The 27,390-nt window shown below is 37.2% G+C and overlaps 1 protein-coding gene across 49 annotated transcripts in view, besides 2 other annotated features; it reads left to right on the forward strand.

Annotated features, from left to right (window-relative positions):
• The window catches only part of R3HCC1L (R3H domain and coiled-coil containing 1 like), a 110,241-nt gene that overhangs the window by 69,417 nt on the left and 13,434 nt on the right, over positions 1–27,390 (forward strand). For 24 of the 49 annotated variants that reach the window (XR_007061959.1, XM_047425072.1, XM_047425071.1 and 21 more), the window contains one exon: positions 4,028–5,826. The exons of 1 other annotated variant lie outside the window; for it this stretch is intronic. Coding sequence is in view for 47 of the 48 variants with exons in the window: in XM_047425072.1 (XP_047281028.1) it covers positions 4,042–5,826 (1,785 nt within the window). In the remaining variant the exon portion in view is untranslated. Of the gene's footprint in view, positions 1–1,444; positions 1,584–4,027; positions 5,827–7,233; positions 7,276–18,634; positions 19,035–25,992; positions 26,034–27,390 lie in introns of those variants that run through there. 24 more of the 49 variants (XM_047425065.1, XM_047425067.1, XM_011539645.3 and 21 more) reach the window with 5 other exon arrangements.
• Positions 19,335–19,868: an enhancer, noted in NCBI's record as "H3K27ac-H3K4me1 hESC enhancer chr10:99983165-99983698 (GRCh37/hg19 assembly coordinates)". NCBI's record gives its function as "activates a minimal SCP1, AML or CMV promoter by ChIP-STARR-seq in primed H9 embryonic stem cells {active_cell/tissue: H9 hESC(primed)}" and the evidence as "EXISTENCE:reporter gene assay evidence [ECO:0000049][PMID:30033119]".
• Positions 19,869–20,400: an enhancer, noted in NCBI's record as "H3K27ac-H3K4me1 hESC enhancer chr10:99983699-99984230 (GRCh37/hg19 assembly coordinates)". NCBI's record gives its function as "activates a minimal SCP1, AML or CMV promoter by ChIP-STARR-seq in primed H9 embryonic stem cells {active_cell/tissue: H9 hESC(primed)}" and the evidence as "EXISTENCE:reporter gene assay evidence [ECO:0000049][PMID:30033119]".

Consider the following 27,390-nt stretch of genomic DNA (forward strand, 5'->3'; position numbering starts at 1 on the left):
CACTTAGAACATTGCGAAAAAGTTAAAACTGTGTTAAAAGAGAGAAAATAATCGGCCCAGCACGGTGGCTTACACCTGTAATCCCAGCACTTTGGGAGGCCCACGTGGGCGGATCACCTGAGGTCGGGAGTTTGAGACCAGCCTGACCAACATAGAGAAACCCCATGTCTACTTAAAACACAAAATTAGCCAGGCGTGGTGGGCACCTGTAATCCCAGCTGCTTGGGAGGCTGAGGCAGGAGAATAGCCTGAACCCAGGAGGCAGAGGTTGTGGTGAGCCAAGATCGTGCCATTGCACTCCACCCTGGGCAACAAGAGCAAAACTGTCTCAAAAAAAAAAGAGAGAGAGAGAAGATCAAGTGCTATTAGTAAATAGCAAGTAGCAGGATGGGAAAAGTTTAATCCAAGGTACATTTTAAAAAATTGTATGGCAGGCAGCCCCACTCCCAATGTGAAAAGCGTTTCTTGCCTATAGTTGCAAAAGAAATTCATAAAAATGCAATAAGGCTTTAAATTAAATTGGCAATATAGTGTTCTCCTCTTTTCCACGGTTTTGCTTTCCATGATTTCAGTTCCTGTGGTCATCCATGTATGAAAATATTGCATACTATAATATACTTTGAGAGACCACATTCACGTAACTTTTATATATTATATATAACAATATTACGTATCGTTATACTTGTTCTGTTTTATTAGTTATTAATCTTTTCCTGTGCCTAATTTATAAATTAAAATTTATCATAGGTATGTATGTGTAGTAAAAGACAATATATTTGGGGTTTGGTACTATCCATGGTCCAGGCATCCATTGGGGATCTTGGTACATATCTGCCGCAGATAAGAGTGGGGACTACTGTATCCTGACAGTCCACAAGAATGGGGATGCTTCTCCTTTTTTGTGTCTGTGAGTTATGAAAAAATGGGCATACTGGTGGATTGGAGTGTCTCCTACTGGCCTGAGACCTGATTGTTAAAATTTTAGGAATTCTGCAAACTGATTGTTAAACACAGCTATTATTAAAAACTAAAGAACATAGGCTTACTATTAAAATTACATTTTAAAAGCTAATAAATACTTCAAACTCATCACTTCCTAATTATTTTACTACATTTTATTATAATCTATGCTTTTCAAGCTATTTATGTAAGTATATCATACCTCTGGTTGAAATAATAGAATGGTGTGCTTTTGTACATTTTTTTCCCCAACTCTATATTTGGTGATCTCACAATGATAACTAGAAATTAGCTATGGGAAGAATGTTTACGCTACAGAGATTGTCAAATGCCATAAATAGGGCTTGATTTCTTATTTCTTGATTGTCTAGACTTAAAGTGATGGAGAAAATGCTGCTAATAAAAATGTGTCATGCCTTTAGTTATTATATTGTAACTAAAAAAAAGTATATATTCTTCCATTCTTAAAAAATGATTACTTCAGCTAAGAAGTCGCTCACATCATTGACATCAGTGACATAAAGAAAAACATCAAGTAATACTACAAAGGACACTTGGAAAGCTGATTGCTGAATATTTGCCAGCACACTGCTGGTCATGGCACAGTCGAAATCATTGCTTTGGTAGGAAATAGATAATAATATAAATTTATTATACTGATTTTCAGCTATAGGAAATAGTATTACATGTGAGCATTATTTAAGAAAAAAAGGTTGAATTTGTAAAGTCATTAACTGTGGCACATAATAATTTTAAAGTAGATAATTTGAAGCCTTTGATAGGTCTATTGCAGATTAGAAATAGAATCATAGAATTTAGAGTTTCTCTAGTATATGTCAGTCATCCAGCCTTTATCTAAATTCTGCTAGAGACAGAGCTCATTTCCTGGTAATAACATTGGAGAAATCTAGTAGTAGAATTCTTTCTTACTTTGAGCTAAATTTTGTTTTCCTTTTATTTCTAACAATTGGTTCTGGTACTGACTTCTGGAGAAACATAGAAACATAAACAAGAAATCTTGTCTCTTTTATAGAGCAACTGATCTTTCAGGTATAAAGTTAGCTGTGGTTTTTCATTGAGACCTCTTTGGGCAAGAATTATACCTTTAGTTCTTTTAGCTCTACATTGTATGACATATTTTCTAGACTCTGTAATCTAAGAGTGTGTTACCTTTTTAAACATCACATCACTATTTTGGGGCTTTTATTGACCTTGTGAACAAATAAAAGCCTTTAGATCTTTCTTTATGCAAATTATACAGAAGTCACGTCTTCTGTCTTTTGTTTGATTCTTTAAAAAAAAAAAAAAAACCTCCAAAAGAGATCCTTGTATTTACTGCTTTAAACCTTCATATTGCTTTCAGCACAGCATTTCAGATTATAGAAATGATATTGAATTTTAATTTTATAATTTTTGGTATTTATTAGTTCTGTCATTTTTGTGTCAGTTGCAGACTTGATAAGCACTCAGTGTTTATTGTTTACATCTAAATTATTGTATAAATTGTTGAATTTCAAAGGGCTATATAATCCTCCTTTAACTAATCTCTAAATTCATTTCTACCCATTATTATTATTATTTTTTGTTTAATCTTTTGTGAGTCCACTTATCAGTTTTGCTAAGTAATCCCCATTTCATCATTTTATATCCAGAAGTTCATTATGATATATTTTGTCAGATGTTTTACTTACTGTAATCCAGGTGTGCTATGTCTCTGGTATCCCTTTCTATGAAACACACTTCAGTACTTCTGTCTTTGAAAATTAGGCATTTTTTGAAAAATCCTGGCATGCCTAAATGTTAAGGTCATATTCTTCCTCAAATGGAAGATATAAAATACATGAAGAATGTTGGGCTAGATGTTAACTAAGATACCAAAAGAGAAAAGGAACAAGATAATCACTGGAGATACTTGATGATCAGGGCCACGGTATTACTTGGGCTGAAAGGAAAATAACCTGTGCCATGAGAATAGAGCTTTTTCATCAAGGAAGTATTCTGGACCAGGTGAAATTTTAGGGATCTGGAATAGAGTGGACAGGATGCGTTAGCCTTTTTTCCTCTCTGCCTTCTCATTATCTCCTTCTTTTGAAATGTACGTTGTGAAATGTTAACAGTGTGTGCATCTGTGTGTATGTGGGTGTTTCTCTGTTGTGTATAGCACCTCCTTATTCTCTTTGTCCTGGACAAACTTATCCCTACTTCATAGCATTATTTTGAAAATTAAAAGAATAATTCAATATGAAATTCCCTAGCACATTTTCTTGTATTTTAGTAGATAGTAGATAAAGATTTTTTTAACTTTTGTTATATTTCTTCTTGTTAAATTCCATTGAGCAACCATGGTGGAGGTTGTCAGGGAGTTACTAGAGTGAATTGTCTCATCACAGTTTCCTTGGTCTTCTATCCTCCTTCATCCTAGCCAGATCTGTTTTATTACTGCTGGAAGCAAGGGAAATTGATAGCAAGTCACTTGACTAAATGGTATTAATAGAATAATACTTTTCTCTTTTTCACTACTTTCTCTTTTCTAAGATATCTTAGATCAAAAGCAGCATCTTCTAGAAAGCATTCTCTGATAAGTCATTTCATTTTCTAGCCAACATTCAAGTTACTCTCAGAAATCACTTTATGTGTATGTATATTTATGTTGAACAACAACAACAAAAAAATTAAAGAAAAAAAAAAAGGCCGGGCACAGTGGTTCATGCCTGTCATCCCAGCACTTTGGGAGACAAAGGTGGGTAGATTGCCTTAAGCTCAGCCTGGGCTTGAGACCAGCCTAGGCAACATGATGAAACCCGGTCTCTACCAGAAATACAAAAACAAACAAACAAAACCACAAAGCCAGGCATGGTGGCATGTGTCTGGTCCTAGCTACTCAGGAGGCAGAGGTGGAAGGATCGCTTGAGCCTGGAAGGGCAGAGGTTACAGTGAGCTGAGATCGCTCCACTGTACTCTAGCCTGGGTGACAGTGTGAGACTCTGTCCCAAAAAGAAAAAAGAAAATATTTTGGTTCAATACATTGTAATTAGTGTCTAATAATTAAATCATTCTTCTCTTGCAGATTGTGGTGGTGCCATGCAGCAAGAATCAGAGAGATGCAGAGTTAGAGCCAGAAGGCCTGACATGGCACTTTATGTACCTAAAGCTCGTAGGGGTGCAGTACTCCTTAAGACAGGTGATGAAGAAGAAAGCTGTGGTTCACCTAACTCTGTGGTGAAAGAAAAGCAAAAAGAAAGTTCTCTCTCCCAAAAAGAAGTCTTTAAAGACAAACCGGAGGCTCGAAGACTAAATATCAATCCTGATAGAAAGGAGCATAATTGTAGAGAAGAAAAGAAATCTTCAACAAAATTAAGAATGGACACATGCCTTCAAAAAACAAATAGAGTTTGTTCTAAGAGAGGAACCACTGAATCCAAAGAAGTATTATCCCAAGGACAACAGCAGGGAGCCCCAAATGCTGGGGTTATAACTAATGCACCTTTGCAGAGACATTTTAAACCAAAGAAGGTGGAGTGTTTGGAAGTTGAAACTACGGATGTGACAGGACATGAGAGGATACTTCTTTCACAGGCCTGTTTAGAAATCAGCGAGGCTCAAGTTCCAAGCAAACCATTCCAAAATGTGGAATTCTGTGACTTCAGTAGGCATGAACCTGATGGGGAAGCATTTGAAGACAAAGATTTGGAAGGCAGAATTGAAACTGATACCAAGGTTTTGGAGATACTATATGAGTTTCCTAGAGTTTTTAGTTCTGTCATGAAACCTGAGAATATGATTGTACCAATAAAACTAAGCTCTGATTCTGAAATTGTACAACAAAGCATGCAAACATCAGATGGAATATTGAATCCCAGCAGCGGAGGCATCACCACTACTTCTGTTCCTGGAAGTCCAGATGGTGTCTTTGATCAAACTTGCGTAGATTTTGAAGTTGAGAGTGTAGGTGGTATAGCCAATAGTACAGGTTTCATCTTAGATCAAAAAGATACAGATTCCATTCCTGCAACTATGGGTCACATCTCTCTGTCAGAGAGCACAAATGACACTGTTAGTCCAGTAATGATTAGAGAATGTGAGAAGAATGACAGCACTGCTGATGAGTTACATGTAAAGCACGAACCTCCTGATACAGCTGTCCTTGCTCATGAAACACATAGAGATAGTGGATTTAAGAATGTAGGTGACATTACCAATAAAGCATGTATGATGGACACTACAGGTATGTCCTGTAGTGATCATGTAACTGTTGATAGCCCTTATGTAGTTGCAGTTAGAATAGCTGATGAGACCTCTATTAATACACGAAGTTTCTCAAAGTTTGTAGGAATGAGTGCAGATGCAACCCCTCTTCATGTAGCTAGAAGTGGGAATGACACTGAAGATTTCAGCAACCCTTCTGCTTGCTCAGATATTTATGGTGAGAGTATTTCATCTCATTTTACAGAGTCAACAGGAAAGTTGATAGAGAGCTTGTCAGATTGTGCTTCCTCCTTACCTATAAAAAAGATTGCTGGTAGTAATTATAACACTTTTTTGGACTCTGAACTCAGTATGTTAAATGGGACAAAAGTTCTTTCAGACAGTGCCGTGGGCATTGACCTGGGTAGTACTGGTGATACAACAGAAGCATTGCACGAACTAAGAACTGCCGAAGAGTTCAAAACAGAAGAGCAAGATGACTCAGGGAGTATAGAATTTGGTGTATCTTTTCCTGATAGGGAATCATCATCTATGGAAACATCCATCGAACCAAAAGCAACTGAAACTTCTCACACAGAGGGAATTACTGCCATTGAGGAGAGCTGGGAGTCTATGTTTAACGATGATGGTGACTGCCTGGATCCACGTCTTCTACAAGAGGTATGTTTAATTGAAATTGCTTGATGCTTAGTTAGTTTATAAATTAGGATTTCAGTGGTAATTTTGATAGACAGTGATGCACATTCACTGATATTTAAGAGTTCCTGCAATAAACTAATAGGCTTGTAGATTAAGAAGAGAATATCTGATAGATCTTTAAAAAATAAAATATACAGAATTGAGCTGTATCTATAATAGCCAAGCCCTGAGAGATTTTATGGAATAAAGATGAATTTAATGGATTTTAACTATCTGTCAAGGAAATGCAAAGGAAAACTTCTTCAAAAAGGTTTTTCTATGTTGACAAGGTATCTTTTACATGGGCCTATTTAAGGGAAGGAGAATAATTTATTACTATTGTTATTTATATTTTATTTTCTAGTGGATGTTGGAGTGTTAGACACTGTAGAGGGAAGGAAGTAGAGAAAAGAAGGGTAAAATACAAGAAAGTATCATTGTTTTTTAAGGAGTTTATACTGGGTTAAATTGAAGAATGAATTACCCATTTAGCATAAATAGAAGATGTAAGTGAATAATGATATGCTGGCCAATTAGAATTCATAAATAAATGTTAGATTTGAGGCATCTTAGAAATTACTCAGTTCAGTCTTTTTGTTTTCTTAATTTAAATGTTTACTCTGTATCCAACATTTAAATTCCTTACCTTAAATAAGAATCACTGGTTTTAAGTAGTAGAACACTCCCTCTTTCCTTCCCTATAGTGGGTTCACATAACTTTGCCTGGAAAGGAAAAAATTATTTTCCTATAAGAGCACCAGTTTTATAAATGAGGAAGTTGAAGCTCAGTGGTCACACCTTTAGGAAAGGCAGAATCAGGATTTCAGTCTAGTTCTGTCTTAATCCAATGTTTATGTTCTCTCTACGAGACTATTTCCTCACCTAAAGGATTTCTTTTGAGGCATTCCAAAGACCCTTTTGAATACTAAGTGATGAGTCTTTTGTTCTGAGAATTAAGCTGGAAGTATAGAAAAATTATCACATGCCTGTAAAAGAGCCACATAATACTGAAGAGGGCGGTCCATTGGATAGAACTGACTTTCCAATACCAAGCAATCCCACCTCATTCGTGGGAGCTGTTTGCACAGAAAGAATTTCCCTGTACCACAAACGAGCACATCCTGTCAGGTCAGGAAACACTATATCTTAAACATTCCTTAGAACAAAATATAGAGCGGAGAATACCTATGAATGAGCATCCATGAGCCCCTTGAATTACATGCAAAATTATATGTACGTATGTGTGTTTTTTCATAGCTTTCATCAGATTCTCAAAGGCAGTGATTTCCAAAGTATGGTCCCTAGACCAGCAGCATGAGTATCACCTAGGAACTTGTTAGAAATTCAAATTATTTAGCCCAGCAAACTGTCTATTTACAACTTTTTCAGGGGATTCTGATGCACATAAAGCCCGAGAACCACTGCTCAAAGGTAATACACTTAAATCTATATCAGAATGTGAGTAGGGAACTGCAAATGACTGTCAGCCCATAATTAGAAAAATACTGTTCAGTAGAGGTTTGAGATCCAAATCAGGTTAAGAAATAATAATAAGGTGGGAAGCTAGGTGAATATAGAGATGTTATTAAGAACTAAAGCATTGAGAGAAGGCTTTAGTCTGAGAAAAGAAACAGTGTTCGCAAGAGTTGGTGAAAGGACTGCATGAGGAATAGAGAGAGCACATGAACATGGAGGAGAGATGAACAGCTTCCTCCAAAAGAAGAGCGTGGCTCTCATGGCCTTTTACACATGGTGTAGTACTCAGTAAATATTTATCCAATGGATGGCGTTGATAGGGCAGAGTTGGGGGCTCTGTCTTTTTAGGGTGGCTTCCAGGGGCTTTCAAAACATCAGGGGCTGGAACTTGGATTCAGTGGGGTAGCTTATGGATATGGCTTGTGTATTGGAAGAGGGGGAGTTCAGGTGTACAACTCAGTTTTTCAGGTCTTTCCAGTGTTTAGGTGTAAGATAATTTAGGCAACAACTCAGTATTTCGAGGAGCATAGTAACATAAAGAGGACATTGGGATGACCTAAAGCTGGGATTGGGAGGAAAACAGAGAATATAGTATTTTAAGCTGAAGATGGACAGTGTCTGGGTGTTGTGTTTGGCTTATGTTTGGAGGTACTTGGAAAAGAGTAGGGTCTGTGTTGAGGAATGAGCATAACTGAGAGCAGGAAGGAGGGAAATGGATTGAGAATGCAAGTAGCAGATCCAACTCCTCTGCTTTGGGTTTTAGAAAATGTAATAATGATACTGTTATTAAAAGATGTCACAAATCCAGCAACATTAATAGCCCTTTGATGACTTCTGGTTTATTATTTTTATTGCTCCAAACATACTTTATTAAGTGCTAAAGCAGAGTGAGTGCCTGCCTCCCTTGAAAACTTTCCAACTAAAGGTTTTTGGCTATCATCCCAGCTGGCCTGTTTCTTGATTGATAGCAGCTAGACATATGGAGGTATGTCTAATACTTCTAATAGTCAGGTATGCTGTAGAGCAAGGTGTGACAGCCATTGGCTTGTGAAGCAATTTCCTGTGACATTTGAACCTCCAAAACTGCCTTAGGGGGTTAGAGTATAAGTAGGTCATTATTGAGCTCCCAGAACTGCAACTCTTGATGAGTCTCCAAGAATCACACTTAGTCTCCTAAAGCCACGGTATGGAATGCCCAGAAACTTAAGGTGGTAATTGATGAAGGAGATGATATTGGCATGACTTTTTTTAGCCCTCTGAATTCTTGGTAGAAGAACACAGGAGTTATTTTTCATTAGAAAATACTTTCATAGCCCTACTGCCATCTGTACTGATCATCAGATCTGTTGGTAGGAGGATTAATGGGATACCAAGAACATAACATTGATGTTGATAGATACCAGCATTTGTTACCTTCATTGTCATTTCTGGCACTGATTTGAATTTTTAGATAGGGGTAAATATTTAAGTAGTATCTCCTAAACTTTTTAAGAATTTGAGGCCTTCCCTTGGTTACAGAAGGCCACTAATATTATACCACCATATTCTATAATAGTATGTAGACCATAATGGGTAAGAGAAGAGTAAAAGGAATACCATCTTTTCCCACCCATCTTACTTCTCAGTGTGTGCTAACTTACATTGTTATACTGTCTCTGTCTCCCTATAGTCTTTTGCAAAAATGGTGTCCATGTTAAGTGGAAAACCCAAAACTGAAAGGAAAAATTTATAATCCAGTCACTAAAAGCAAATTATGTAACATACAAAGAGAGGAAAGCCCTTCATATCCCAACCCCTCGAGGCCTCATAAATAGTTGGTAGCCCATCACCTTTCAGTTGAATAGCAAATATTGAACACTTAGAGTTTGATAAACTATAAATCCCTAATAGCTAGATATGTGTTGTTATCACTGCTATGTTAAAGGCACTGTGCTGCATGCCATCTTTTGCTCTGAAGTTGTTCATGTTTTATTTGGAGAGACAGTATGTAACTATGTGACTAGTCCCACAGCAATCTGCAGGGAAATTAATATAAAACAACCTTATAACAGATGTACTAAAACTGTATTTCATTGCCTGATAAGTGACACAGAATATGACTTCAAAAGGAGATTAGAGGGATAGGACAGGGGAAAAAGAACAAAAGGGGATTAGATCCCCCAATGCTAGACTGGTTGATGCAGTTTCATGTTGGTGAGGCTATAGAATTAAACAAGAGATTATAGTTCCCACTTTTACTATGCTGTTCTGTTTCTAATTTCTGTTTTCTATTCCATTTTAAAAAAATCTATAGACTTTATTTTTGAGTAGTTTTAGATTTATTTAAAAAATTGAACAGAGTACAGAGTTCCCTTGTACCCCCTCACCTGTCGTTCTAATTTTTTTCACAATATCTTTTAAAAGTTCCAGCTCATTTTAACAGATTTCTAATTCATATTTTATAAAGATGTCTGAATTGACATGTTATTGACTGCCTAAGTGGGGATTTATTGACTCACTTTCCAGATGCTGTATATTCTAATGCAGTCAGTTGGGACATTCAGTGAAGAATCTGAGTGAATTATGTACTCTGTTTTTATTGTTCAATCCATTAGTGAATGATGACTAGATCTCTGGTCCAAACAGAAAGAGGGAACATTAAGTAGATTCCATCACTCATAGTTTTTGTTTTTGTAACCAGGTGACTCCTAAAATTAAAAATCTCCCTTTGAGCTCTGTTATATTTGTTGCATAACATTTTTTCCTCAGAATCAGTATAGAAGCCAGCAGCATTTTAATTTCTGATCCTCTTTCAAAACTGCAGAAAGGTGAACAGTTCTGGGCCTGTATTGTCAGTACAAGGAAGCTTTTATTTAAGGATTCTTGCCTGAAGATTCAGATTCCTAGTGTACCTTGCTCTGTCCTTGGCAGTGCTTGTTTCAGTGAATTCCATGAGATATGGCATGTGGAGTATGGTTAGGGCATTTTTTAATTTGTCAGGGTATATATATAGTAAATCATAAAATCTTAAATTGATTTTCTTCAGTAGAAAGTGAGTTAACAAGCAGTTAAGTGGAAGAGAAAAACAGAAATGAAGGGCTTGAATAACCTCACCTACATAATTGAGAATTGATTATATGGGTTAATTCTATGTAAATAGATTTTTGAAGCAACTGTAGTAATTTCACACCACCAACTTGTGCCCAAATCTTGTTGTCCTTGTCACTGTAACCCCCAGTGCCTCTCATTTAAATTTGTTTTACCTATAACTGTAAAGTGGTTTGTTATGTTTAATTGTGTTTAATTAAAAGTACCCATGAAAACGTTCTTATTCCTATCTTCCAAGATGAGCCAGAATTTATAGTATAGTCCTTGACATATAAGGACTCAGAGCTAGAGCTTTATCCTGTCTTAGAGATAGAACTGCACAAGTCATTTTTTAAAAGTGGAATGTTAGCATTTAAAATCATTTCTGAAAATAAGTCTCATTAGTTCTACAAGACTATCAACTCCTTAAACATTGATTTAGCGGTCTAGTCTAGCTCTAGTCTAGTCTAGCCTACAATCTAGTCTGGCCCCTTCTTATTTTATAGATAAGGTAACTAAGGCCCAGAAGGGTTGTAGCTAAAGTAAGTTCATGCCAGAGTTGGCATTAGAATCTGTGCCTCCTGGTTTCTAGCCCTGCGCTCTTTCCATGACATTAAGCCTTTGTCTCTACCTGACTGGGTCTCAGCCAGTCAACAGATATTGAACAAATATTCTGTGCCCAGCGCTGATCTTAGTGATGTTGGGGGTAAAAGAGAAGGATAACAATATTTAAACAGTGTACAGTCCTGTGGAATAATGAGACTTATTTATTCTCAGGAATGACTAGAAAAAAAAGAGTATTCTATTTAAATGAATTGGAAATGCCTTTGTGAAATATACCATTATTTTATGAATTACTAAGATAGAAAAAACTTTGACACAGTGCTTTTCCCTTAAAATTTTAATTTTATACATATTGAAACAACTCTCCTAATTAGACATAAATTTTTTTTTATCATATTTCATCTTCATACATAAAAAATGTAGTAAAATAAATTGGTTAAGATTTTCCTAATACTTCACGTTCACAATCCAACTCTTTCTAATAATTTGTTGATTCAGCCACTGATATTGATGCTTTTCTATTCAGTGTCATCCATTTTGCCATTGAGAACTTTGATGACGCAGCATTTCTTAAAAGAATACATAAAAGAACCAAAAATCTTTGTTGCAGAATTCTTAAGACACCTTTGTACTTGTGTAGAGCTGTTCTGATATTTAGAATTTTCCTCCACATTACTGACCATCCTTTCTGCCAGTTTTGGTACTGGTGCTTCTGATACACATGTGCAGGAAGCAATAACAATATGTTGATTGTGATGCGTCCTAATGTCAGTGTTGTTAAAATGTGAAAAAAAGGATATATCTTAGAATTGATGAAATGTATATATCCAACTACTGAGTGTTAGGAAATAGTAATATAGGAAAGGAAAGATCGCCAAATTGGAGTAAATTGGGAAAGAAGCATCCAGAGGAGTTTAAAGATTGAAGCTGGATCTTGGGAGAAGACAGAACATGAGCAGAAAAAGCATTCCAGGTTGTGAGAACAGCTTGTGAAAAACAGAATCAGAATCAAGTCCTAAGTTTGTCACTATCAGAAGTTTAGATGATTTATTTTGAAATTTTGTTTTCTTTTTATAATTTATTCTGAATTTTCTTCATGATTAACCAGGGCAGTTGAAGTTTATTGGTAAAGGGAAAGAAAAAAGTATCAATTTTTTTCCCCCAATTTTAGAGTGCCATTTAGAATCATTTAAAAAATATATGTTCTTACCTGAGCAGGGTGGCTCACACCTGTAATCCCAGCACTTTGTGAGGCCGAGGCAGGTGGATCGCTTGAGTGCAGGAGTTTGAGACCACCCTAGGCAACATGGCAAAACCTCATCTCTACAAAAAATACAAAACTTAGCCGGGCGTAGTGGCATGTGCCTGTGGTCCCAGCTACTGGGGAGGGTGAGGTGGAAGGATCGCTTGAGCCCAGGAGGCAGACGCTGCAGTGAGCCAAGTCATATCCCTGCACTTCAGCCTGGGCAACAGAATGAGACCCTGTCTCAACATACATGTATTTGTTGTTGTATAAATCAAATAAGTCTTGGGTTTTTTTGTTCGTCTGTTTTTTATGTGGTGGGGGTTGAGACAGTCTCACTTTGTTGCCCAGGCTAGAGTGCAGTGGCACGATCTTAGCTCACTGTAGCCTCAAACTCCTGGGCTCAAGCAATTCTGCTGCCTCACCCTCCCGAGTAGCTGGGACCACAGGAGTATACCACCATGCCTGTCTAATTTTTAAAAAATTTATTTTTTGTAGAGGAGGACTCTTGTTGTCTTGCCTAGGCTGGTCTTGATCTTGTGGCCTCAAGTGATCGTCTCACCTCAGCCCCCCAAAGTGTTGGGATTACAAGTATGACTCACTACACCCAGCTTAGAATAAGTCTTGTTAAGCATGCATTTGGACAAAATAATTAACTTGAAGCATGTACATTTTATTCATTCTATAAATATATATTGACTGCCTAGTTTGCAAGATAATATGTTCAGTGGGGGAATATAGGAATAAATATGACATGTCAGTTATAGTTGAATTTAAAACCAAAATGTTGGTAAGGAAATTGAAACTCCATCCTTCTTTTCCAGCCTTATTTACTAGAATAAGGTATTAGTTTGCTAGGGCTGTCATACAGAGTTTTATAGTTTCAGGTCTTACGTTTAAGTCATTAATTCATTTTGAGTTGGTTTTTGTATATGGTAAGAGATAGGAATCTAGCTTCATTCTTCTGCATATAGACATCCAATTTTTTCAGCACCATTTATTGAAGAGGGCGTGCTTTCCTCAGTGTTCTTGGTGCCTTTGTCGAAAATCAGTTGGCTGTAAATGCATGAACAGAATAGGGTTCTCTATTCTGTTCCATTGGTCTGTATGCCTGTTTTTATACCAATACCATGCTGTTTTGGTTACTACAGCTTTACAGTATTTTTTGAAATCAGGTAGTGTGATACCTCCAGATTTATTCTTTTTGCTCAGTATTGCTTTGACTATTCTTTGTCTTTTGTGGTTCCATTCAAATTTTAGTATTGTTTTTTCTATTTGTATGAAGAATTGTCGTTGGTATTTTGATAGGGATTGCATTGAATCTTTAGATTGCTTTAGGCAGTATGGTCATTTTAACAGTATTAATTTTTCCAGTTCATAAGCATGAGATGTCTTCCGATTTGTTTGTGTTCTCTCCAGTTTTCTTTCATCAGTGTTTTATAGTTTTCCTGGTAGAGAGCTTTCGCCTCCTTAGTCAGATTTACTCCTAGGTATTTTATTTCATTTTTTGTTTTTATTATAAATGGGATTTCTTTCTTGATTTTTTTTTTCAACTAGTGTGCTATTGGTGTACAGAAATGCTGAGTTATATTGGCTGACTTTGTATCTGGTAATTTACTGAATTTCTTTATCAGTTCTGAGAGTTTTTTGGTGGAGTCATTAGATTTTTCTATAAGATCATTTCATCTTCAAAGAGATACAGTTTGACTTCCTCTTTTCCAATTTGGCAGCTCTTTATTTCTCTTTCCTGTTGCTCTGTCTAGGACTTCAAGTACTACGATGAATAAGAGTGGTGAATGTGGACATTGTTGTTTTGTTCCCATTCTTAGAGGAAAAGTGGAAAGCTTTTCCCATTCATCATAATGTTAGGTGTGAGTTTGTCATATATAGCCTTTATTATGTTGAGGTATGTTTCTTCTATTTCTAATTTGTTGAGGGTTTTTATCATGAAGGGATGTTGAACTTCATCAAGTGCTTTTTCTGTATCTGTTGAGATGTTTATATGGGTTTTGACCTTCATTCTGTTGATCTAATGTATCACATTTTTTACAAAAATCAACAAAATACTAGTAAACCAAATTCAACATAAAAAAAAAAGATACCATGATCAAGTGGGGTTTATTCTAGGAATGCAAGGATGATTCAACGTATGCAAGTCATATGATGATTTGACCATGGTTAGTCTAGCTGGTGTTTTATTGATTTTGGTTTTTGTATTAAAAAAAACTTTTGTTTCATTGATACTTTGTATTTTCTTAGTCTCTCATTTAGTTCCAATGTTATCTTTATGAAGTCTTTTACTAATTTTGGGTTTGGTTTGTTCTTGCTTTTCTAATTCTTCGAGGTGCTTCATTAGGTTGTGCTGATGAGAATGTATCCTGCAGTTGTTGGGTAAAGTGTTCCAGTAATGTCTGTTAGGTCCATTTGGTTTACAGTGCAGTGTAAATCCAATGTTTCTCTGTTGATTTTCTGTCTAGATGATCTGTCCAATGCTGAGAGTGGGATGTTGAAGCCCCCAGCTATTATTGTATTGGAGTCTATTTCTTCCTTTAGATCTAATAGTATTTTCTTTATATATCTGGGTGCTCTTTTGTTGAGTGCGTCTATATTTACAATGTTTTATCATCTTACTGAGTTGATCGCTTTATCATAGACTTTGTTTCTTTTTTTTTGGAAACTCTGTCTCCCAGGCTGGAGTGTAGTGGCATGGTCTCAGCTCACTGCACCCTCCACCTTCTGGGTTCAAGCGATTCTTCTGCGCCAGCTTCCTGAGTAGCTGGGATTATAGGCGCATGCTATTATGCTCAGCTAATTTGTGTATTTTTAGTAGAGACAGGGTTTCACCATGTTGTCCAGGCTGGTCTTGATCTCCTGGCCTCAAGTGATCCACCTGCCTTGGCCTCCCAAAGTGTTGGGATTACAGGTGTGAGCCACCATGCCCAGCCAGGCCTTTTTAAAGTTTTTGACTTAAAGTCTGTTTTATCTTACATAACTACCCCCGCTTTGCTTTTAGTTTCTGTTTGTGTGGAATATATTTTTTCATCCTTTTACTTCCAGGCAATATGTGTCTACAGGTGAAATGTTTCTTGTAGGCAGCATATAGTTGGGTCATGTTTATTAATCTGTTCAGCCAAATTATATCTTTTAAGTGGAGAATTTAACCCATGTACATTCATGGTTCCTTATTGATAGGTAAGGACTTATTCCTGTCATTTTATTGTTTTCTGTATCTTTTGTTTCTTTCTTCCTATCTTATTTATCTTTGCAGTTTGATGGTTTTCTGTGGTGGTAACATTTGACTTCTTTCTCTCATTTGTGTCTGTTCTGCCAGTGAGCTTTCTGCTTTCATGTGTTTTTATGATGGTAGATAGCATCCTTTCACTTCCAGGTGTAAGATTTCCTTAAGCATTTCTTGTAGGTCCAGTCTCATGATAATGAATTCCCTGTTTTTGCTTATCTGGGAACAACTTTATTGTTGTTCCCATCTGATGGGAATCCCTTCTGTATATCCCTTCTATGTAAGATTTTCTCTTGCTGTTTTTTAGAATTCTTGGTCTTTGACTTTTGACAACTTGACTAGTGTGCCTTGGAGAAGACATTTTTGGGTTGAATCTCTTTGGGAATCTTTGAGCTTCCTATATTTGGATGTCTATATCTCTTACAAGACTTGGGACATTTTCAGCTGTTACTTCATTAAATAGGTTTTTTGTGCCTTTAGCCATCTCTTCTCCGGAACTCCCAAAATTTAAATATTTGTCACTTTGTGATGTCCCTCATTTCATGTAGGCTTTCTTTATTCTGTTTATTTATTTTCTGACAGGGTTATTTCAGAGGGTCTGTCTTTTAAGTTCAGAAATTCTTTCTTCTGCTTGACCTAGTCTGCTATTGCCCTCAATTGTATTTTTTGTTTCATTCATTGAGTTCTTCAGTTCAGGATTGATTTAGTTCTTCTTTATAAACTCTAACTCTTTGTTGAATTTCTCATTGAGGTCATGAATTGTTTGTCTGATTTCCTTGTATTATTTATCTGTGTTTTCTTGTATCTCACTGACGTTCTTTAATATTTTTGAATTCTTTGTCAGGCATTTCATGGATTTCTTTTTCTTTTTTTTTTCCCATCTTTTTTTTTTTTTTATACTCTAAGTTTTAGGGTACATGTGCACATTGTGCAGGTTAGTTACATATGTATACATATGCCATGCTGGTGCACTGCACCCACTAACTCGTCATCTAGCATTAGGTATCTCTCCCAATGCTATCCCTCCCCCCACCCCACAACAGTCCCCAGAGTGTGATATTCCCTTTCCTGTGTCCATGTGATCTCATTGTTCAATTCCCACCTATGAGTGAGAATATGCGGTGTTTGGTTTTTTGTTCTTGCGATAGTTTACTGAGAATGATGTTTTCCAATTTCATCCATGTCCCTACAAAGGACATGAACTCATCATTTTTTATGGCTGCATAGTATTCCATGGTGTATATGTGCCACAATTTCTTAATCCAGTCTGTCATTGTTGGACATTTGGGTTGGTTCCAAGTCTTTGCTATTGTGAATAATGCCGCAATAAACATACGTGTGCATGTGTCTTTATAGCAGCATGATTTATAGTCCTTTGGGTATATACCCAGTAATGGGATGGCTGGGTCAAATGGTATTTCCAGTTCTAGATCCCTGAGGAATCGCCACACTGACTTCCACAATGGTTGAACTAGTTTACAGTCCCACCAACAGTGTAAAAGTGTTCCTATTTCTCCACATCCTCTCCAGCACCTGTTGTTTCCTGACTTTTTAATGATTGCCATTCTAACTGGTATGAGATGGTATCTCATTGTGGTTTTGATTTGCATTTCTCTGATGGCCAGTGATGATGAGCATTTTTTCATGTGTCTTTTGGCTGCATAAATGTCTTCTTTTGAGAAGTGTCTGTTCATGTCCTTCGCCCACTTGTTGATGGGGTTGTTTGTTTTTTTCTTGTAAATTTGTTTGAGTTCATTGTAGATTCTGGATATTAGCCCTTTGTCAGATGAGGAGGTTGCGAAAATTTTCTCCCATTTTGTAGGTTGCCTGTTCACTCTGATGGTAGTTTCTTTTGCTGTGCAGAAGCTCTTTAGTTTAATTAGATCCCATTTGTCAATTTTGGCTTTTGTTGCCATTGCTTTTGGTGTTTTAGACATGAAGTCCTTGCCCATGCCTATGTCCTGAATGGTAATGCCTAGGTTTTCTTCTAGGGTTTTTATGTTTTAGGTCTAACGTTTAAGTCTTTAATCCATCTTGAATTGATTTTTGTATAAGGTGTAAGGAAGGGATCCAGTTTCAGCTTTCTACATATGGCTAGCCAGTTTTCCCAGCACCATTTATTAAATAGGGAATCCTTTCCCCATTGCTTGTTTTTGTCAGGTTTGTCAAAGATCAGATAGTTGTAGATATGCAGCGTTATTTCTGAGGGCTCTGTTCTGTTCCATTGATCTATATGTCTGTTTTGGTACCAGTACCATGCTGTTTTGGTTACTGTAGCCTTGTAATATAGTTTGAAGTCAGGTAGCATGATGCCTCCAGCTTTGTTCTTTTGGCTTAGGATTGACTTGGCGATTCGGGCTCTTTTTTGGTTCCATATGAACTTTAAAGTAGTTTTTTCCAATTCTGTGAAGAAAGGCATTAGTAGCTTGATGGGGATGGCATTGAATCTGTAAATTACCTTGGGCAGTATAGCCATTTTCTCGATATTGATTCTTCCTACCCATGAGCATGGAATGTTCTTCCATTTGTTTGTATCCTTTTTTATTTCCTTGAGCAGTGGTTTGTAGTTGTCCTTGAAGAGGTCCTTCACATCCCTTGTAAGTTGGATTCCTAGGTATTTTATTCTTTTTGAAGCAATTGTGAGTGGGAGTTCACTCATTATTTGGCTGTCTGTTTGTCTGTTACTGGTGTATAAGAATGCTTGTGATTTTTGTACATTGATTTTGTATCCTGAGTCTTTGCTGAAGTTGCTTATCAGCTTAAGGAGATTTTGGGCTGAGACAGTGGGGTTTTCTAGATATACAATCATGTCATCTGCAAACAGGGACAATTTGACTTCCTCTTTTCCTAATTGAATACCCTTTATTTCCTTCTCCTGCCTAATTGCCCTGGCCAGAACTTCCAACACTATGTTGAATAGGAGTGGTGAGAGACGGCATCCCTGTCTTGTGCCAGTTTTCAAAGGGAATGCTTCCAGTTTTTGCCCATTCAGTATGATATTGGCTGTGGGTTTGTCATAGATAGCTCTTATTATTTTGAAATACGTCCCATCAATACCTAATTTATTGGGAGTTTTTAGCATGAAGGGTTGTTGAATTTTGTCAAAGGCTTTTTCTGCATCTATTGAGATAATCATGTGGTTTTTGTCTTTGTCTCTGTTTATATGCTGGATTACATTTATTGATTTGCATATATTGAACCAGCCTTGCATCCAAAAACCCTTCAAAAAATTAATGAATCCAGGAGCTGGTTTTTTGAAAGGATCAACAAAATTGATAGACCGCTAGCAAGACTAATAAAGAAAAAAAGAGAGAAGAATCTAATAGATGCAATAAAAAATGATAAAGGGGATATCACCACCGATCCCACAGAAATACAAACTACCATCAGAGAATACTATAAACACCTCTACGCAAATAAACTGGAAAATCTAGAAGAAATGGATAAATTCCTCGACACATACACTCTCCCAAGACTAAACCAGGAAGAAGTTGAATCTCTGAATAGACCAATAACAGGATCTGAAATTGTGGCAATAATCAATAGCTTACCAACCAAAAAGAGTCCAGGACCAGATGGATTCACAGCTGAATTCTACCAGAGGTACAAGGAGGAACTGGTACCATTCCTTCTGAAACTATTCCAATCAATAGAATAAGAGGGAATCCTCCCTAACTCATTTTATGAGGCCAGCATCATTTTGATACCAAAGCCACGCAGAGACACAACCAAAAAAGAGAATTTTAGACCAATATCCTTGATGAACATTGATGGAAAAATCCTCAATAAAATACTGGCAAAACGAATGCAGCAGCACATCAAAAAGCTTATCCACCATGATCAAGTGGGCTTCATCCCTGGGATGCAAGATTTATTTTTCATTGGAATGTTGGTGAATAATTACTGTGTTCTTTTGGAGGTGTTATGTTTCCTTGCTTTTTTATGTTTCTTGTGTTCTTTCATTCATATCTGTGCATCTAGTATAATAGTCACTTCTTCAAATTTTATGGATTGGCTTTCATAGGGAAAATACTTTTTCCTATAGATATATCTATTCTTTTGGTTGGGTCAGGCACTTTGGTTTTGATTCTGGGTGGGTAAAGTAGCATAGTTTCTGTATGATATCTTGGGCTGTAATCAGTTATTTGTGTCTGTGAGTTTTTCAATGGCTTAGGCTGTGGTGGTTAGTGGAAGCTGTAGTAGAACTTTGCTGGGGATGAGGACACCAGGTAGAGGCCAGTCCTTGGACAACAGCAGGCTGAGTGTGCTGATCCTTAGGGCTTCAGGCAGCGTTCTGTGCACCAAAGGTAGTGAGTCTGGACAGGCTGATCCTTAGGCCTCCAGGCATTTTACTTGGGTGTCAGCAGTGGCAGCAGTGTGCTGGGTGAGCGTATGGGTCCTTGGGCTCCTGGGCAATGTGTTTTGGTGATGGTAGGAGCAGCAGTGGGCTATCCCTCTGGCTCCCAAGCAGCACGCAGAATAATTACGCAGGTGGGGGGTTGTGGCGGGTCAATCTCCAGGCTCCCTGATGTTGCACTTGAATGCAGGCTGTGGCAAGTGGGGCAGGCTAATCCCTAGCCCTCAGACAGTGTGCTTGGGTGCCGCTCATTGTTGTAGCAGCGGAAAGCTGTGTAGGCTCATTCTTAGGCCCCAGGAAGGTGTGCATGAGTGACAGGTGGGCAGGTCTGCTTTCAGGTTCCCCTCATGGTGTGTGTGGGTGCCAGTGGCAGCAGCTAGGAGGGGCATAATGTGGCATATTTTTTTTTTGTCTGTGGGGAATAATTGGCATGTGACTTCAGAATTTCTTGTTTTTTTCCTTTTATATGTTGAAGAACTAAGTATTAAATAAACAGAAAACAAAAAATAAAAACTCAATGATGCATGCCTTGTTGATCTTGTGCTCTCTCCCCTATCCTTTTATCCCTCTGCGAATAGGCATCAGGGCAATAACATCATTACTAGTTGGGTAATAGTTTATAGACTTGTTTTCAAGACCAGACTGCTAGGCCCTAAGTGTCTTCAAACCCTTTATTTCGGGAAGTTAATTTTAATTTAGTTGAATGGTTTTGTGGAAGCTAGTTGTGCATATGAAGGAATACTCACATATCATTTATGCTTTATAAATAGCAACACAGACCACTATTTAAGATCCTAAAAATATTTGTGATTCATAACTCAAAATTGTTTTCTCTGAATCATTTGTAAACTTTCCCTTGGTCTATAATAGATAGATCAGAATGAATGAAATTCTAAACGTCTACCATCTGTTTTTGCTCTATCAGACATTCTTAGCCCTAATAAAAAATATTGTGAAGGTTTCATATTGACTTTATAGGAGGGATTGCCCAAATACATGTGATTCTTAAGGTAAATGTTTCTGTTGTCTACAGTATAAATACAATGCAAGTCACAAATGTGAACCACATGTATGGTTTTGCATTTTCTAGTAGCCATATTAGAAAAGTAATAACAGGTAAAATTAATAATATATTTTAACCTAATATGTTCAAAATACCATTTCAACATGTAATCGGTATAAAAAATTATTAAAGACATTTTTTTTTGTATTAAGTCTTGAAATCTGTGGGATATTTTATACTTACAGCATATCTCAATTTGACCTAGCCACATTTTACTTATTACATAGCCACATGTGACAGGCAGCTACTGTATTGGACAGTTCAGGCCTACTGCCAAAGTACATAATCAGTACATCAGATTGTAGAGCTTTTTCTTAAAGCTTCCCATACTGCCATGTCTCATCACTCTGTGTCAGTGGTCCTACCTCCCCATCCCTCTTCACAGCCTTTCTTTGCCTCACTTCCATCTTCATCCCATGTTATCCTCTCTTTGACACTTTCTCCCTTTTATGCCACAAATCCTCTCCTTCTTTCTGTCAAGTTCTCTTGCATGTTTTGCTGAGATTCTTAGGAAAGAAAGTTCCATTAACAGTATGATATCCTATCTCCACAAAAAAAAATGTGTTACTGGGGAAATGTAAGTTGATCTCAACAATATCAGTACCCTGGGGGAAATGAAGTTCTTCCTCCTCTAGGAAAAGTTAGGAATCTCTGATGATTGTGGATTCTGAGTGATACAGGAAGAACTGATCAGAAGTATGTAACTCGTAGCCTTTGTTTGTTTCATGAAATGTAGAACAAGAATTATGTTTTTTGCTATTATTAACACTGTTTTTAATCAGTGTCAGAAGCCAGATGTTTAATAGGTACCTCGGAAATGAGATATAAGTATACAAGTTTAGCTTTGCTGACTAGATTAGAGCAAAGGAGCATAATCAAATTTTCTTGCCAGACTATCCTGTCATTTCCTTCCTTTTTGTAACTTTTTTTTTTGGTACAAAGTCTTGGCTCGGTAACCCAGGTTGGAGTGTAGTGGCACAGTCTTGGCTCACTGCAGCCTCGACCTCCCGGACTCAAGCTATCCTCCGGCCTCAGCACTCCCACCCTGAGTAGCTGGGATTACAGGTGTGTGCCTCCATGCCCGGCTAATGTTTTGTATTTTTTGTAGAGGCAGGGTTTTGCCATGTTGCCCAGGCTGGTCTTGAACTCAAGCAGTTTGCCTGCCTGGGCCTCCCAAAGTGCTGGGATTACAGGTCTGTGCCACCATGCCTGGCCTGTAACATTTCTCAGGATTTATATTTCTAAGATATTTTGTGATTTGCATTGTATCTTTGACAGTGTATTATTTAGCCCCAATTTATGAATGTACAAACATGCAGTTCCTTGTTTTGTTTGGGTTTTGCAAAGTAACTCAAAGTCAATGCAGAAAATGAAGAAAACAATTTTACAATAACCTCAAAAAGAATAAAACATTTAGGAATACATTTAACAAAAGAGGTATAAAACTTATACTCTGAAAACTATAAAACATTGTTGGAGGAAATTAAGGACTTAGAGAAATGGAAAGACATCCCATGTTTATCTACTGGAGAACTTAATATTGTTCAGATATTTCCTAAGTTGATTTACATATTCAGTGCAATCCCAGCTGCCTGGTTGGCAGAAAATTTTTTGCAGAAATTGACAAGCAGATCCTCAAATTCTCTGGAAATGCAAAGTGCCCTAAATAATCAAAAGTGATTTTGAAAAGAACAAAGTTGGAGGACTCAGGCTTTCTAGTAAGCTTCTTGATTTCAAAGAGTACTATAAAGCTACAGTAACCAAAACAGTGTGGCACTGGCATAAGGATTGACTTGCAAGTTATTGCAGACTCCTTTTGTCCCTGGCCTCTGAGTTATTCCAAACTGTTAACACTAATCTACTCTAGACGTTTAAGAATTTATTAAAGTTTAACTGATATCTTCTTGCCCACTTATGTGGTGATCACTTCTTCCAGTGGTCTGCCAAAGGCAAAACAGTTTATGTATTCTGTTTCTCTTTGGGAGAGACTTGTCATTGTATGGATTTTAAGATAAGCAGTTTCCCTTGTTATCTTACAAACTCAGCTCTCTGGTAAACTCAAGAAAAGTTATGATTTTATAGATCAGCTGGTCTTTTCTCTTGTTACAGTGGGAAGAACATTCTCTTCTGCTTTCTACATCCTAAGCAGAGTGGAACTAATATGGTGTTTGGCATGTAACAGACTTAGCACTTGGTTAAAATTCTTTTAAAGTGGGTTTACTTTACTGAATACTTATGTGCCAAGCAGTATGCTAAGCACTTACCATATCATCTCCTTTAGTCCATGCACTTATCTATGAAGTATAGGTACTGTTATTATTCCCATGTTTTACATGTAAAACTGAGGCTTAGTAGAGAAAAGGAACTGGAGGCACAGGAATAAATAATAATTTTTATTGATATTATCCAAATCACCTTCCTCCTTCTCCCAATAAAACTCTTGAATCCATTTTTCAACTTTTCCAAGGAAAGGAGATATATATTCCTGGCATTGCAAGTTCTTATTTTCCTCATTTGATGGGAAAAGAGACACAGTATTAAAACCAGAGAAAGCTTGAAGGGACCTGGGTGAACTTTTGATTAACAGAGAGAGAGAGAGAGAGAAAAATATTATCTAAGGATCTGGTGGCTTTGGGTCATCAGCAGTGTGTGTTTTTTTTTTTTTTTTTAATTATACTTTAAGTTCTAGGGTACATGTGCACAACGTGCAGGTTTGTTACATATGTATACAGGTGCCATGTTGGTGTGCTGCACCCATTAACTCGTCATTTACATTAGGTATATCTCCTAATGCTATCCCTCCCCCCTTCCCCCACCCCACAACAGGCCCCAGTGTGTGATGTCCCCCTTCCTGTGTCCAAGTGTTCTCATTGTCCAATTCCCACCTATGAGTGAGAACATGTGATGTTTGGTTTTTTGTCCTTGCGATAGTTTGCTGAGAATGATGGTTTCCAGCTTCAACCATGTCCCTACAAAGGACATGAACTCATCCTTTTTTATGGCTGCATAGTATTCCATGGTGTATATGTGCCACATTTTCTTAATCCAGTCTATCATTATTGGACATTTGGGTTGGTTCCGAGTCTTTCCTATTGTGAAAAGAGCCGCAACAAACATATGTGTGCATGTGTCTTTATAGCAGCATGATTTATAATCCTTTGGGTATATACCCAGTAATGGGATGGCTGGGTCAAAATGGTATTTCTAGTTCTAGATCCCTGAGGAATTGCCACACTGTCTTCCACAATGGTTGAACCAGTTTATAGTCCCACCAACAGTGTAAAAGTGTTCCTGTTTCTCCACATCCTCTCCAGCACCTGCCGTTTCCTGACTTTTTAATGATTGCCATTCTAACTGGTGTGAGATGGTATCTCATTGTGGTTTTGATTTGCATTTCTCTGATGACCAGTGATGATGAGCATTTTTTCATGTGTCTTTTGGCTGCATAAATGTCTTCTTTTGAGAAGCATCTGTTCATATCCTTCGCCCACTTGTTGATGGGGTTTTTGTTTTTTTCTTGTAAATTTGTTTCAGTTCTTTGTGGATAAAGATATTACTCATCTTTGTCAGATGAGTAGATTGCAAAAATTTTCTCCCATTCTGTAGGTTGCCTGTTCACTCTGATGGTAGTTTCTTTTGCTGTGCAGAAGATCTTTAGTTTAATTAGATCTCATTTGTCAATTTTGGCTTTTGTTGCCATTGCTTTTGGTGTTTTAGACATGAAGTCCTTGCCCATGCCTGTGTCCTGAGTGGTATTGCCTAGGTTTTCTTCTAGGGTTTTTATGGTTTTAGGTCTAACATTTAAGTCTTTAATCCATCTTGAATTAATTTTTGTATAAGGTGTAAGGAAGAGATCCAGTTTCAGCTTTCTACATATGGCCAGCCAGTTTTCCCAGCACCATTTGTTAAATAGGGAATCCTTTCCCCATTTCTTGTTTTTGTCAGGTTTGTCAAAGATCAGATAGTTGTAGATGTGTGGTATTATTTCTGAGGCCTCTGTTCTGTTCCATTGGCCTGTATCTCTGTTTTGGTACCAGTACCATGCTGTTTTGGTTACTGTAGCCTTGTAGTATAGTTTGAAGTCAGGTAGTGTGATGCCTCCAGCTTTGTTCTTTTGGCTTAGGATTGACTTGGCAATGCAGGCTCTTTTTTGGTTCCATATGAACTTTAAAGTAGTTTTTTTCCAGTTCTGTGAAGAAAGTCATTGGTAGCTTGATGGGGATGGCATTGAATCTATAAATTACCTTGGGCAGTATGGCCATTTTCACGATATTGATTCTTCCTACCCATGAGCATGGAATGTTCTTCCATTTGTTTGTATCCTCTTTTATTTCATCAAGCAGTGGTTTGTAGTTGTCCTTGAAGAGGTCCTTCACATCCCTTGTAAGTTGGGTTCCTGGGTATTTTATTCTCTTTGAAGCAGTTGTGAATGGGAATTCACTCATGATTTGGCTGTTTGTCTGTTATTGGTGTGTAGGAATGCTTGTGATTTTTGCACATTGATTTTGTATCCTGAGATTTGCTGAAGTTGCCTGTCAACTTAAGGAGATTTTGGGCTGAGACAGTGGGGTTTTCTAGATATACAATCATGTCATCTGCAAACAGGGACAATTTGACTTCCTCTTTTCCTAATTGATTACCCTTTATTTCTTTCTCCTGCCTGATTGCCCTAGCCAGAACTTCCAACACTATGTTGAATGGGAGTGGTGAGAGAGGGCATCCCTGTCTTGTGCCAGTTTTCAAAGGGAATGCTTCCAGTTTTTGCCCATTCAGTATGATATTGGCTGTGGGTTTGTCATAAATGGCTCTTATTATTTTGAGATACGTCCCATCAATACCTAATTTATTGAGAGTTTTTAGCATGAAGGGTTGTTGAATTTTGTCAAAGACCTTTTCTGCATCTATTGAGATAATCATGTAGTTTTTGTTGTTGGTTCTGTTTATATGCTGGATTACATTTATTGATTTGCGTATGTTGAATCAGCCTTGCATCCCAGGGATGAAGCCAACTTGATCATGGTGGATAAGCTTTTTGATGTGCTGCTGCATTCGGTTTGCCAGTATTTTATTGAGGATTTTTGCATCAATGTTCATCAGGGATATTGGTCTGAAATTCTCTTTTTTTGTTGTGTCTCTGCCAGGCTTTGGTATCAGGATGATGCTGGCCTCATAAAATGAGTTATGGAGGATTCCCTCTTTTTCTATTGATTGGAATAGTTTCAGAAGGAATGGTATCAGCTCCTCCTTGTACCTCTGGTAGAATTCAGCTGTGAATCCGTCTGGTCCTGGACTTTTTTTGGTTGGTAAGCTATTAATTATTGCCTCAATTTCAGATCCTGTTATTGGTCTATTCAGAGATTCAACTTCTTCCTGGTTTAGTCTTGGGAGAGTGTATGTGTCGAGGAATTTATCCATTTCTTCTAGATTTTCCAGTTTATTTGCGTAGAGGTGTTTATAGTATTCTCTGATGGTAGTTTGTATTTCTGTGGGATCGGTGGTGATATCCCCTTTATCATTTTTTTTGCGTCTATTTGATTCTTCTCTCTTCTTTGTTAATCTTGCTAGTGGTCTATCAATTTTGTTGATCTTTTCAGAAAACCAGCTCCTGGATTCATTGATTTTTTTGAAGGGTTTTTTGTGTCTCTGTCTCCTTCAGTTCTGCTCTGATCTTAGTTATTTCTTGCCTTCTGCTAGCTTTTGAATGTGTTTGTTCTTGCTTCTCTAGTTCTTTTAATTGTGATGTTAGGGTGTCAATTTTAGATCTTTCCTGCTTTCTCTTATGGGCATTTAGTGCTATAAATTTCCCTCTACGCAAACAGTGTCTAGGTTTTATAACAGGTGAATGACAGAATGACTGTCATGGCTTTGCTGCCGCTTTCCACTTTCCCGTTTTGTTTCTTTTGCTTCCAGTGTGAAGTTCAGCTTTTTTTATAGGACGGTAGAATTTTAATTTGTTACCTCTTTTATTAATTCCTTCACTAGCCTGCTATATGCACATTCCTTAAGGTAGGTCTCATGCTAAGGACATTAAGTATAACTACTTGTACCACTTAATTTGTCTTAACAAATGCCTTTGTAAGCTGTCTCCTCACCCTTTAATACATTCAACAAAAAGTGAAGTAAAAAAGTTTTTTTGAATTTTATTTAAAAACTTTTTTTCATTTTTGTTCACTTCCAGAAAAGAAACTATGAGCCTGGTCAGTAAGCTCAATTAAAACAAATATTATTAATTAATCTCTTCAGCTATTATCTAAGCTTCATTTTCCAAGATGTGCCATTTATAACTCACAACAGTATTCAGTCTGTGTTTTCTCGTGTGCTGGTTAGAGATGCAAGTTGAGTTTCATGCATTGCCTGTCTGCTGGAATTTCAACACTTTTTCAACAGTTCCATATGTATAGTATAAACTGGGCGATAAGCACCTGATCATTATTGTATCTGTGAGTAGAATTAATACAGAGACTATGCCAAAGGTTGAGGAATGGGAACATGTAGAGAAAGGGAGGAGGATTGTTTATATATAGGAATATATTTTACAA

This window comes from Homo sapiens, chromosome 10 (genome assembly GCF_000001405.40).
Source record: "Homo sapiens chromosome 10, GRCh38.p14 Primary Assembly".
Lineage (NCBI taxonomy): Eukaryota > Metazoa > Chordata > Mammalia > Primates > Hominidae > Homo > Homo sapiens.